General features: G+C 36.5%; 1 protein-coding gene across 16 annotated transcripts in view, besides 1 other annotated feature; it reads right to left on the bottom strand.

The window, feature by feature from the left end:
• Positions 1-12,434, bottom strand: part of ADGRG6 (adhesion G protein-coupled receptor G6) — a 144,255-nt gene that overhangs the window by 106,827 nt on the left and 24,994 nt on the right. The gene's annotated exons all lie outside the window — the stretch shown is intronic.
• Positions 4,769-5,063: a silencer, noted in NCBI's record as "tiled region #14737; HepG2 Repressive non-DNase unmatched - State 6:EnhF, and K562 Repressive non-DNase unmatched - State 24:Quies". NCBI's record gives its function as "represses a minimal TATA promoter and a strong SV40 promoter by Sharpr-MPRA in HepG2 and K562 cells {active_cell/tissue: HepG2 | K562}" and the evidence as "EXISTENCE:reporter gene assay evidence [ECO:0000049][PMID:27701403]".

The raw sequence follows: 12,434 nt of genomic DNA, 5'->3' as shown, positions 1-12,434 counted from the left end.
CCAGAAAGCTCTGATATTAGCCCTGATGGAAGCATGTTTGATAGTTCCTAAATCAAATCTTTAATTTCAGTGCTTCATGCCAATTTCTACTATTTGCTGGTCTCCAGCTTTTCTGGAAGCATTCATATTTTTGTTACGCCCCAGTGGATATTTGACAGTAGAGAAGGGATTCTCCACCTGGCTTGTTCTTGCAACTGCTCTAAGCAGTTTATTGACCCGTGATAAGTGATTATGAATTCTTGTGCATAGCTAACATCAGATTCTCTGTAGGATCCCTGACTCAAAAACATAAAGATGACTATTAATGTATATAAATATTTAAGTTAACACCTGAGATTTGTACAACTACTGTGAGAGACAGGTTAAAAATTAATAACTATCCTGGATGTGAAGTTTTAAGAGTATAAAGATTGAAGAATTCTTACATTAATTTAGAGAATTAATACAGCATAATCACATCCAATAAAATGTGGAGTGTGTTTGTGTAGGTAAGGAAATTTGATAATTTTTTGGAATAATGAGTTAGCTATTGAAAGAAAAGTCAATTTACATTTTGGTTGTTTCCAAGTATGTTTGTGGGGCAGATGAGGGGCTTGATGGTGGTAAATGAATGACTAGAAGACATATAGGCATTACTATTTTTAATTAAAATGTTTCAGTTACATATCAGATGAAATTAAGAATTATACTTCTTTTAGATTACAGGATTATAAAATTATAAATCAAATGATGTTAACTACAACTATTTATGCAATAGCAATTACCTCAGTACAATTTGTGCTGAGTATTAAAATGATATCAAAGAAAATAAATTTAGACATATTAAGAGTTCTATAGCTAAAACGAATTTAATAATATATCGATTAACTACTATTATTTAAGCACAAAATATATGATCTATATTGCTCAAATTTAAAGAATAAATTATATGTAATAAATATAATTAAATATACAATATTTAACATAATAAAACTCTTATTTAGAGCCTTCAATAAAAAAGAAATCATTGAACTACAGCCAAAGAAAATTAGATATTCGAAACATAGTTTAAGAAACAACTGTAATATCATTAAATTCAAAGATTTAGTCTCCTTAATTTCAATACACTATCAAAGATACAAGGCATAGGCCGGGCGCGGTGGCTCATGCCTGTAATCCCAGCACTTTGGGAGGCCGAGGCGGACGGATCACGAGGTCAGGAGATCGAGACCACGGTGAAACCCCATCTCTACTAAAAATACAAAAAGTTAGCCGGGCGTAGTGGCAGGCGCCTGTAGTCGCAGCTACTCGGGAGGCTGAGGCAGGAGAATGGCGTGAACCCGGGAGGCAGAGCTTGCAGTGAGCCAAGATCGCGCCACTGCACTCCAGCCTGGGTGACAGAGCGAGACTCCGTCTCAAAAAAAAAAAAAAAAAAAAACAAAGATACAAGGCATAAAAAGGATTTAGTGTCAGAACATTTGTTTATTTTCAACAAAAGTATATATAAATTCAGTGTCAGATGTATATAAATGATCAGATATAATTATTCACTGATAATATCTATTTCATATATATCTATGAGTCCCCTGTGTTAGCCCACTCTTCCCTATCAAGATCAGTATAGACTGAGAAATAAAATCTAAAAGTAAATATAAAGGTTAAAATATTATTGTTATTCCAAATAGAGCTGGACTTAGCAACTGAACCTGAGAACCAGGCTTACTGACATAACTTGACTGCAACCAACATTTACAGACCCATGAACCCACTTTGGGGAACAAACCTGTAGAAATGCACTAGAATGCATAATGCCTCCTCCCTTGGGTAGGCAGCTGCCCCACAAAAGAGGGGAGAATCAGGTTGAGAATTCCCAATTTTGCTTTCCACAAATAACCAATCACTTGAGTCCCTCCGAGAGTAAAGCAAGCCTTGAGCTCTCCTCACAAGGAGGAACTACTGGAAAAAGATAAAGTTCCCCCAAACATGCGTGCCATTGCCATTTTTCTGGTTTGTTTTGGTTTCATAGCTTGAGTCCCAGTGCAGCACTCATTAAAACAGTTCATATATGATTAAAACTGAACCACATTCTATTTTGTTTCCATTACAACTTCCAAAAGACAGTACAAAATTATCCTTAAACTGTGATGCTATTTGACTGCTTCCAATAGGTGGAAACTCTTTGTTCACCCTTAATGGCAGGCTTTATCTGGTAATCCACAGTTCTAAACTTACAAAGAATACCAGATTACATGAAATGCTTGAAGACACATAACAGTATAATAAAATACCAGCATATTATTTTAAAGGATGCTAATGGCAAGAAGTTTTAAAGGTAAAAATTAGATGGAGTACCTGTGAAATTTATTCCAAAAGAGAAAAAACTGCCCCTGTTGAAGCACCTAGTGGTGGAAGGGACACTGCCCTGGTAGACGCAGACCTGGTGCCAGTCTGCCCAGCTGAGGCAAAACCATCCACACTTTAGCTCTCTCACTTGCACACCTCAATATCAAAGTCCTTTGGCAGTAACAACACCTCCATATCCTAGGTAGTACAGCATGATGCAGAGAAAAAGAATATCAGGTTCGAAAACAGATTGCCCCAGGGCCATTTCTCACTTCAGTTCTTATATCCATCTGAGATCGAGTACTTATAAGATCTCTCACAAACTCAGTTTGCTCATCTGCATAGTGACAATAATACCACCCCTCTAAGGAGGGTGTCATAAAAGAAGGTAATAAATATGCATGTGTGTGTTATCTATGTACAAATATATCTATGTATGTGTCTACATATAAATACATATAATGCTAACATAGTACACAGTTCCTTAGAACATGCCTCAATATACATATGGTGGATGTTACATTTATTTTAGTAGAATTGCTATATTTGATTATCAGTAGCATGTTTTGTAGCTGCTACCATGTAACAGATAAGCTATTTGAACCAAGGGCTGTGGTTATTTATTTTCAACCCCAGACACAACCCCAGAGAGCAAACCACAAACAAGCAAACCTTTAAGTACTCCAAAATTATGGTGTTATCTGTATGTATGATGAAACTAATTGTGACCAGGGAATTTGCCCTTTCTGAATTACTAAACAAAAATCAATCTTAGAAAAAGGTTACTGCACACATAACAGTATTTCAGAGAGAACTGAAAGTTCCATGTTAGCATGCCCTGATTGTCTACTTCTCCCTAAGGAAGAAAAATAGCAACAATCACTGTCTTCCACTGGAGTTTGAATCAAAATTACAAATTTATCCCACATAAAGCCTTTATCCTTGAGAGAAGTCTGAGCTGCCTGCTGCATGGAAGACCTGCACATAGACCTGCACACAGAGAGGCACTGCTATCATGCAGAAGGGGAAAAAAGAGATCATAAAAAGTTGCTTTGAGTAACAAGCAAAACTTTGACTAATGTAATTTTACTGTTTGTTCTTTCACATTTACAAAATTATATGGCCACCCCAGTTCCAAACCTCTTGAAGGGATGGTTCACATCCCCCATGGAAACTTCCATCTCACATTTTTTTCTTACTTCTTACTACAGGGGCTCCCAAAGGATCCCTGATTACATTCTCTTGAAATTTTCTTTTCTCAGATTCCAAGAAATATTCTCTTGGTTTTTCTTCTTACATCATTAAGTAGTCTATAACACCTTCTTCTCTGATTACTTTTTTCTCCTTTTTCCCTAAATTTTGCTGCTGTCTATAGTTCAGCTCAGAGATCTCTTTTCTCTCCCACCCCACCCCCTATGGTTTTCCTATTGGAATTTCATCAGACTTCATGATTGCAGATTCATCCTCTGTGTAAATAACTTCCAAATCGGGATCTCAACTCCTGACCTCTGTTCCATGCACCACTTCTGCAGTGTGGGACACCAGTGGACAAGACAACCTCCTTTCCCACTGATGCCCTCCAAAGCTTTTCTCTCCACGTATTTCCATTGCAATGAAAGGCAGCTCTGTCCTCCCAGGAACTGAATCCTCACTACTTCTAACTGTAAAAGGCTTTCTTGTGCTCCCCTGTTCTCCATTTTCATTCTCTATTTATATTCTGGCCTTCGATTTTCTCACCTAACTTTTTCTACTTCCCTTCCAATCCTCCTTTTTAAAAACTCCTTCCCCACCACTACCAAGATCAATAATTGTGTAATAAAAAGTTCACATCATGTCCATCTCTATTTCAAAAACAACAAAACCATCAAAAGAAATCAGGTGTCCACCAAAAACCAAACATCTAAACCTGAAATTCAAGGTTCCCCATGACTTAACACTATTTCTGATCTCTTGGTTCTCAATACTATCCTCCGATCACCTGTAATAAACAAGAATATTTGCCTGTAGCTCTTTAAACACGTCTTTTGCTTTCTTACTACTGCACTCTGTGTAAGCCCTTTCCTGTCAGAATGCTGCTAAATGCAACAATAAACTCTTTCTAGACATGCTTTTGTCCAGTGCCAATCACCTTTATTCATTCTATTAAGATTTATAATCACTCCCACAGGTTTTAAACAATATGGCTTTCAAAAAATCTTATATTTTGTTTATTTCCCTCTAACATATTATTTTGAATTTCATTTGATTACTGTTTTAAAAGGATTGCCACAGTTCATCTTATTTCATAAGCCTAAGTACTGCCCTCTGTTTATTAAAAGATACTTATGAAACACAGTAAAACTGAGTATGAAAGAGAAAAAAGGTGTAACCAAAACAGTCATAGAATCACAAAATCTTGGTAAGGGACCTTCAGGTTCACCCGATTCAAACTCTGACCTCATGCTAGAGACCCTTGATTGCAACCCTGCCAATCTTCTAGCAGCTACCTGACTCTCCAGTGACAGGAAGCTCATTACTTTGGGGAAAAAGCCATTCCACTGTTGGCACATCTTATTGTCAGAAAGTTCTTCCTTATTCTGGGCCAAGACATACTTCCTGTAGCTTTTCCTCATAACTCCCAGCTCTAACTCTACAGGCACTTGGGCTTCTGCTACGTGTGGAGAGTTAGGTAACAGCACTTCTATAATCTGTTAATGTTTGCAAATTCACTTCATGGTTTTAGGGGGCATAGGATGGTATAGATAGCCTGGATTCCCTAGTGTTAACAAGTGTAATATATCTGGCAATGTGGAGTAGTTTTGTTTTTCCTTCTCTTGTCTTTACCACCTTTTTCCTTTAGCCAAACACTGTTTTTGATTCCCTGCTTTTTATGTGAAATGTTATTCTTCTTAGCTTCCTTCCTGAATTATTTCTTCCATCTTTTGTCTAAGAACTTTGTATTTCCATTAATGATCATATTTCTAGAATTTCAAGTTGAACATTCATATCTTGGGGTAAACCTTGGAAACATCCTGAAACTATCATAAAACAGATGCCATATCCATTCATTTGTTGGAAAACCGACTTTCTTCCTTCAGACAAAAATCTGATATCATTTATCAGTGGTAATTTACACCACATACCATCCCTGGTAAAAGATTTTATTCACCAAAATATATTTGAATTAAGAGCAATGACAGTGTGGACAAGCCATAGGATTAGAGACAGAAGGCCGGAATTAAAGTCCTTCCCTGCCACTTAGTGCTAATGTGATGATGGACAAATCCATTAACTTCTCTGTGATTCAATTTCCTCATCTCTCAATAATAATAAATTACAATGTACCAGGGACATGGATATCTATTGTATTGTTTCAGCCTCACCAGAGTGTGAAGTAGGTATTATTGATCTCATCTTGAAAAGATAAGAACCCTAAGTAATATTTCCAGATTCTCAGACCTTGAAGCTCAAAAGTGATGAAGGTGGCCGGGCATGATGACTCATGCCTGTAATCCCAGCATTTTTGGTGGCCAAGGCAGGAGGATTGCTTGAGCCCAGTAGTTGAAGCCTAGCGTGGGCAACACAGTGAGACCTTATATCTACTAAAAAAAACTTTTTTAAGTGATGAAAGTGAGATTACATCTCCATTCTGCCTGACTGCAACATTCAGTCTTCACTACACCACACATTAATATCAATAAGAAAAACAAGCTGATAGTCCAGGTCTGCCATACCTTGTGATCCTAATGTTATATGTAAACTCTTAGGGAAATAGTACAATGGGTCAGAGGGGATATAACCCTGAAAAACCAACAAATATGCTTGGTGATGAGTTAAAACAAAGGAGTCATCATACAGACAGTGCTCTTTTTCTAACCATCTGGGTCTCCCATTCTGTCCCCTAGAGGAGTTTGAATGACAAATCAAACTGAGTCACTGACTGACAAATTCAAGCAAGAAAATAATTTAATACTGTCTCAATCAAGACTTGCATCATATATTCTCTTTGCTCTGAAATGTAAGGCACATGACAGGATTATACTTTTCCACACTTATCACCATTTCAATCACCATTTCAATAATGGAAACCTGTGACCATCTCCACTCTAGCTTTTGCAACAGTTCAAATAATTCTCAGTCAGTAACTGCCAAGCTATTTTTACGCTCAGTATATTTCCTAGTGTACTTAGGCTAGGATGATAACTAAACTGCACACTAGCACTTCCATGTGCTTAACTTTCCAGGCGTCTGACAGAAGCCCTTACCTGGAAGATTCAAGAACTCCTCCTGGCTTGTTCTTACTGCCACGATCCTTCAGCCCATATTATGGTCCTTTACTTGTTGCTTGGGAGGATGAAGGCCGAAGGGTATTTTCACTAACTTAAAATCCCAAAGATAACAATAGATGTCTAAAAGATAAACACAATCTACTATATTGTGTCTCTCTTGCAAAAGCTATCATTTTTGGCGTGGTAAGTAATAATGTTTTATGTCCACATGACATCCAAGCCCCATGGCAAGATTTATAAGAAAGGGAAATCATTTCCTAGAGAAACTGCCTTGGAATGAGGTGGCTCATTATCTAAGCCAGCAGAACGTCAACTCTGCTTAACCCAGACTTCCTTCACAAAAAAAAAAAAAGCAAAAAACATGCTAGTTAAAAAATTCGAATTTAGTGGAGAACAGAGAGCCAACTGAGGTCTCAAGCCAGAAATTTACAAAATTTACTTTAATAATTAAAAATAAAAAACTTTCAATGTCTATGTAAAGACACCTAATACCTAAATATGCTTAAGTTTCTCTGTGAATTAAATTAGAAGAGGTATCACTAATATGCTAGGACTTTCTACCTACTCATCACTATGTGGTAAGTCAGCCTCTCTGCTGCAAACATTCAGTATTCGAATCTTTCACAACTAAAAGAACCAATAATATACTACATATGTATAGTTATTTTACAGTGATCGAAAAGGGGCGGCCACCTATATTGTGATCTTAAATCCCATTCCATCTACTTTAAGAAGAATTGTGAGCCATTCCTATATTTATATATGGTTTCTCTTTTTCTGAAGTATCAATGATATGTATTTTAGATTTAACAGCATATTACTCTAAAAACCTAATGATCTGTATTTAATTGTCCCATTATAAAGCTGTTATTACTGCAAAATACCAATATGGTACCGAATTAATAAAAATACAGTTAACTTTTCTGAGATAACATTTATTTGCATCTCACTAAAAGATGGCCTAATGACTAGACAAAAAAGTTAACATGAAAACATGCCAAATTCCACAAGCTGTGAATGAAAATGATTAGTTAATGAGGGGAGTGAGGGGGTGCTAGCAAGCAGTGACACGTATTTTCCTACTTAGTCACAAATACACTAAACAAAAAAAGAGCGTTTACAAAAAAAACAGAGAAGGCAATAGTTTTCATTATTCTATTCCATTAACACTGCCAACAGTAATCAATATTTTTGCTTTTAAAAAAGTAACAATCTAGATCTACATTCTGTAAATAACACTGCATTTCAGGACTATTTTCATCAAGGAAAGCAAAATGAGATCAAGTTAACAATATTTCTAAAAAGTTTTTTAAAGTACCCTTTTCAGAGGGTCATGTCATTGCTGGGTTCCCACTGCATTTTCGTCATACAGCATGATGATTATACCGACAGACACAGAACAGAAGAATCTCTTTTCATTTCTGACTCTGCAAGATGAGATCACAGAAAGCCTCACACAAAGCCCATGGGCTGCAGGATATGTCTCACTAGGCCTAAAAAGACACAGCTCTTTTCACTGTGGCTTTTCTTTGAACTATACACTTTAAAGGAGCCATAAGATTCAGAGGGGAGGGGCAGTGAAAAAAAAGAGGCAGCATATCTTCTCAGATCTAAAAGCATACAGATGGCAAAGGTTAGACCTTAGTGGGGAAACACTAAAAAGTCCAGGACAACTGAAAAACACTAGTTTGATAGTTTTTTTTTTTTTTAACTCTTTTCTACCCTGCTGTATTCCATAGAATGTCCATGTCACATACAGCCATGTCTGACCTCAACTCCAAAGGAGCTTTGGCTTCCCTGGGCCCCAGTCGGTGACTTCAGGCAAAGGCAAGTTTTGCTTCTGAGTTCCCATAGAAAAACTGTTCCTCAAGTCCAGTTATATAAATGAAGCTTAAAAAGCTTTTTTTTTAAAGAAACAATTCTGAATTTGTTTACATGGGAAAGAATTATATACTCTAAAAATATTGGCTATAGTTCCTCTGATGTATAATAAATTGAAAATCAATTTTTCAAGGTCGAAAGAGCATGTTTTTATACTCTGGTTTTGAAAATGGAAAGAGTAAGTTGTAAATTCCTCCTCCTCAAAACCCCAAATTAATGACAATCAGGGGAAAAGGCATATACAATATTTGCAACTTTCAGCCCACTAAATGCATTCCATACTATAAGGTTATAGAAAATCAAATCCATCTTCTTCTCAAGCATATTTTATTCCTCTTCCTGAAGGGAAAGGCAAAACTGTAATACATCATCTGTTTCTTGATTCTGAACAGAGAACAGAAATCTCTGAATCTAAAAATGGATCTGGTGACCTAGTATATTACATTGAGGGTTAGGGGAAGCCCTTTCCTTAATATGGTTTTCATGATTAATGAATGGCATTGCCATATTTACTCCCACATCTTTCCGGCTTGCATGAGCTTGTTTGGCTGAGAATAACATCAAGAAAAAAATGTTTTCACCACCGAATTTTTTTTCCACATTTTATTTCATTTTTTTTTAACTTGTAAGTTCAGGAGTACATGTGCAGGTTTGTTACACAGGTAAATTTGGGTCACGGGGGTTTGCTGTACAGATTATTTCATCAGCCAGGTATTAAGCCCATTAGTTATTTTTCCTGATCCAATGCAGCCATTAAAAAGAACGAGATCATGTCCTTTGGAGGGACATGGATGGAGCTGGAGGCCATTATCCTTAGTAAACTAACACACGAACAGAAAACCAAATACCACCTAATTCTTAACCTCTCCCTTTTAAAAAAAATTGCAGTGGCAAAAAAAAAAAATTGCAGTGGCAAATGAAAAATTTCTTCCAGCAGAATATGTTGTTTTCCTTGCCAGAGCCTAGTAGAGACTAAAATAAAGAAGCACACAACTGCAGGCTATATATGGGCTGCAGTGGAGAGTGAAGTTCATCAGTGCTCACGTATCTCACCTTTACACAGCTGTCTTCCCAGCCTCCTCCTTTTCTACTCCCTTCCTATAAGTGGCAGATATGTGACTGTTGTCATTGCACTGCAATTAGAAAAACTTAGAGAAGAATAAGATATCTTAAGGAGTAACCAAGAATGCATTAGCTACTGAAGTATTTGTACACCAATGTTTAAATGAAAAAGAAACCCTCAAGGCAGGAATACCTATTCACCACTCTAAGGTCCTTTCATTTACCCTTTGTGTTGATCACAAACATGACTCAATGATGGGAGCTTTTTCTACAAACAATGATTATTCACTAAGGGAAGGGGGAAATGCTAGTTTATATTAAATTCACTCACGTTGTGACAATTTTTGTTTTAGTAAGGACTGTGATGATCTCGTAAGGTAACAAAATAGATGCAAAAGGCTGCAGAAGATGGCTGATGCTTATACAATTATTTTCTTCCCTTTCAAAAGTGAAAATATTAGAGAAAAATGAAGAAAATAACCTTCAAATATTTTGGCATAAATGTCTTCTTTATAGCTACTTTTAGTTACTAATAAATTATTAAAATGAAATTGCAAACAACACTCAGAAAGGAAAAAATATGGCTAATGAGCCATGAAGATTATATATTACCCCAGAAACTCTCCCAAATTGGTTGTCTCCCCAAAAGTTCATTTTTAAAGTCCTTGGTTGAAACTTAAAATATTACTTTCCAAAACAATACTTCATGATTCATTGTGCAAATAACTGTGCTAAATAATAACAACTATAGCTAACATTTTACTTATTTAATTATCACAAAGACCTCAGAAGGCAGGAAGTACCATGACTGCATTTCACAGAGAAGTAACTTTTCCAGGGCCCATATGAAGTGTAAGTAATAACACCAGTATTCCAACTTACAGTTCATCTTCAGAGCCCACACACTGAACCATTATACTCTACTACCATCTCAGGGAGCCAATGTGGGGATGTGGATATAAGTAAGAAAAATATTATAAATGCTGGACAGACTTTTTAGGTAGCTCAGGACAAAAATTAAACTACAATTTACCTCAATGTCAATTTCATCGATTAAGAGTTTAAAACAGTCCAATTTTAGCTAACATCGAAATCACCTGGAAAGCTTGGGCAAACACAAGTCAATGAGCGCTACCCCAGACTTTCTGACTCAGTAGGTCTGTAATGACGCCCAAGGATTTGCATTTCTATGGCATTCCCTGGTGATACTCTACTGTTGGTTCCAAGACCAGACTTCACTTGAAAAACCACTGGTATAAAACTCTCTGGCAATACTTATAATTGAAACATAATAGAAGAAATTTTGTTGAGTACAATTACTGAACTATAATTAGATTTAAAAAACACAACCTGACTCCTGGCTATCAAGATGAAAGAAATGGAATCAGAAAAGGATAAGCAGGTCAGCCCAGTGGCTCACACCTGTAATTCCAGAACTTTGGGAGGCCAAGGTGGGAAGATCACTTGAGCTCATAAGATCGAGACCAGCTGGGCAACATGGTGAAACACCATCTCTACAAAATACACAAAAATTAGCCAGGCATGGAGATGTGTGCCTATAGTCCCAGCTACTCAGGAGGCTGAGGTGGGAGGAGGGCTTGAGTCCAGGAGGCAGAGGTTGCAGTGAGCTGAAATCATGCCACTGCACTTCAGCCTGGACAACACAGCAAGACCTTGTCTCAAAAAAACAAAACAAAACAAAAGGATAAGCATGTAAGGAGGTGTAAACCTCCATAGCCTTTGCTTGATATTGGTGGGCCCTTTGGAGGTTTACCTCCAAGATAATGGAAAAAACAATGACTAAGGACTAAGAGTCTGAAGAACTGCGTTCTGTTTTGTTTCTGTTTTCCCATAGGGCTGGCACTTAAGTATTCCTAACTTTGGTCTCCTTATCTGTAACGTAGGAAAAATAATTCTTTTGCCTTTTGGGAAGGAGGGAGAAATTGTAAGAATCTGATGAAGTAACTGAAAAAAAAATTACACACCAAGAAACAATATGCAAAATAAAGTAACATTATTGAGATATTGATCAAATTTGATTTAATCTCAAAATGTAGGATTCTTGTTTTCTTTCAAAAAAATTAAATGTTAACACTAGTTTATGATTACTGATCATTACAATGAGTCATGGAGGCATATTTCAACTCAAAAGATTTGTAAAAAAGTGGAGGAGTAAATGGAAGGGAATTCAGTGAAAAAACTGATAAAGAGCTTACCCTTTATAGAAATAGCTGACTTCCCAAATAGGATGAATAAAGATTGGTTACATAATACTCTTGCAGAGAAAGGGAAGTGGAATGATGACAGGTAAGAAGCCATCAGGTGCAGGTAGAAGAGTTCTGGTGCTACACAATGAGGGAAATGATAATACACATTTCCTATAAATATCTAGTAGCTTATCTTCCAACTGAATTGAATAACGATGTTCAGCCTCAGAGGTTTACTCTATGTCTGTATTAATTAAAATCTGTTTCTTGCTACAGCTGATTTTCACACTGTGTTCCAAAACATTTCCTAATATAGACGGTGAACTCCATGTGTTAAGTTTGAATGAGAAGATTTTCCAGTTTACACAGAAAGTTGCTGTTATGGTACTTCCAGTTCCTCCTAGTCCCCAAAGACTTTTTTTTTTTAATGAATTCCTCTTTTTATCTTTTTGCCTATCATTAAGTTAAATCTATGGTTCATTTGCCTCATTCTTTATTTTATGAGGCTTTAAAAATTAAAACATTTTTAGAAAAGTCATATTACCCCACTGACAACTGCATTACATCTAAAAACAACTTAATTAATAAAGCATACACACCCAAACAAAGTACTGGAGCAAGATGGAATACTAGTCTTTCATAATCAGACCAAGATGAGAAATTATCTTGGGTACTTTCACAATACCCATGATTT

Source organism: Homo sapiens, chromosome 6 (assembly GCF_000001405.40).
Source record: "Homo sapiens chromosome 6, GRCh38.p14 Primary Assembly".
NCBI classification, from domain to species: Eukaryota; Metazoa; Chordata; class Mammalia; order Primates; family Hominidae; genus Homo; species Homo sapiens.
The sequence above is the reverse complement of the archived record's forward strand: the minus strand, read 5'-3'. Positions and strand labels throughout refer to the sequence as shown.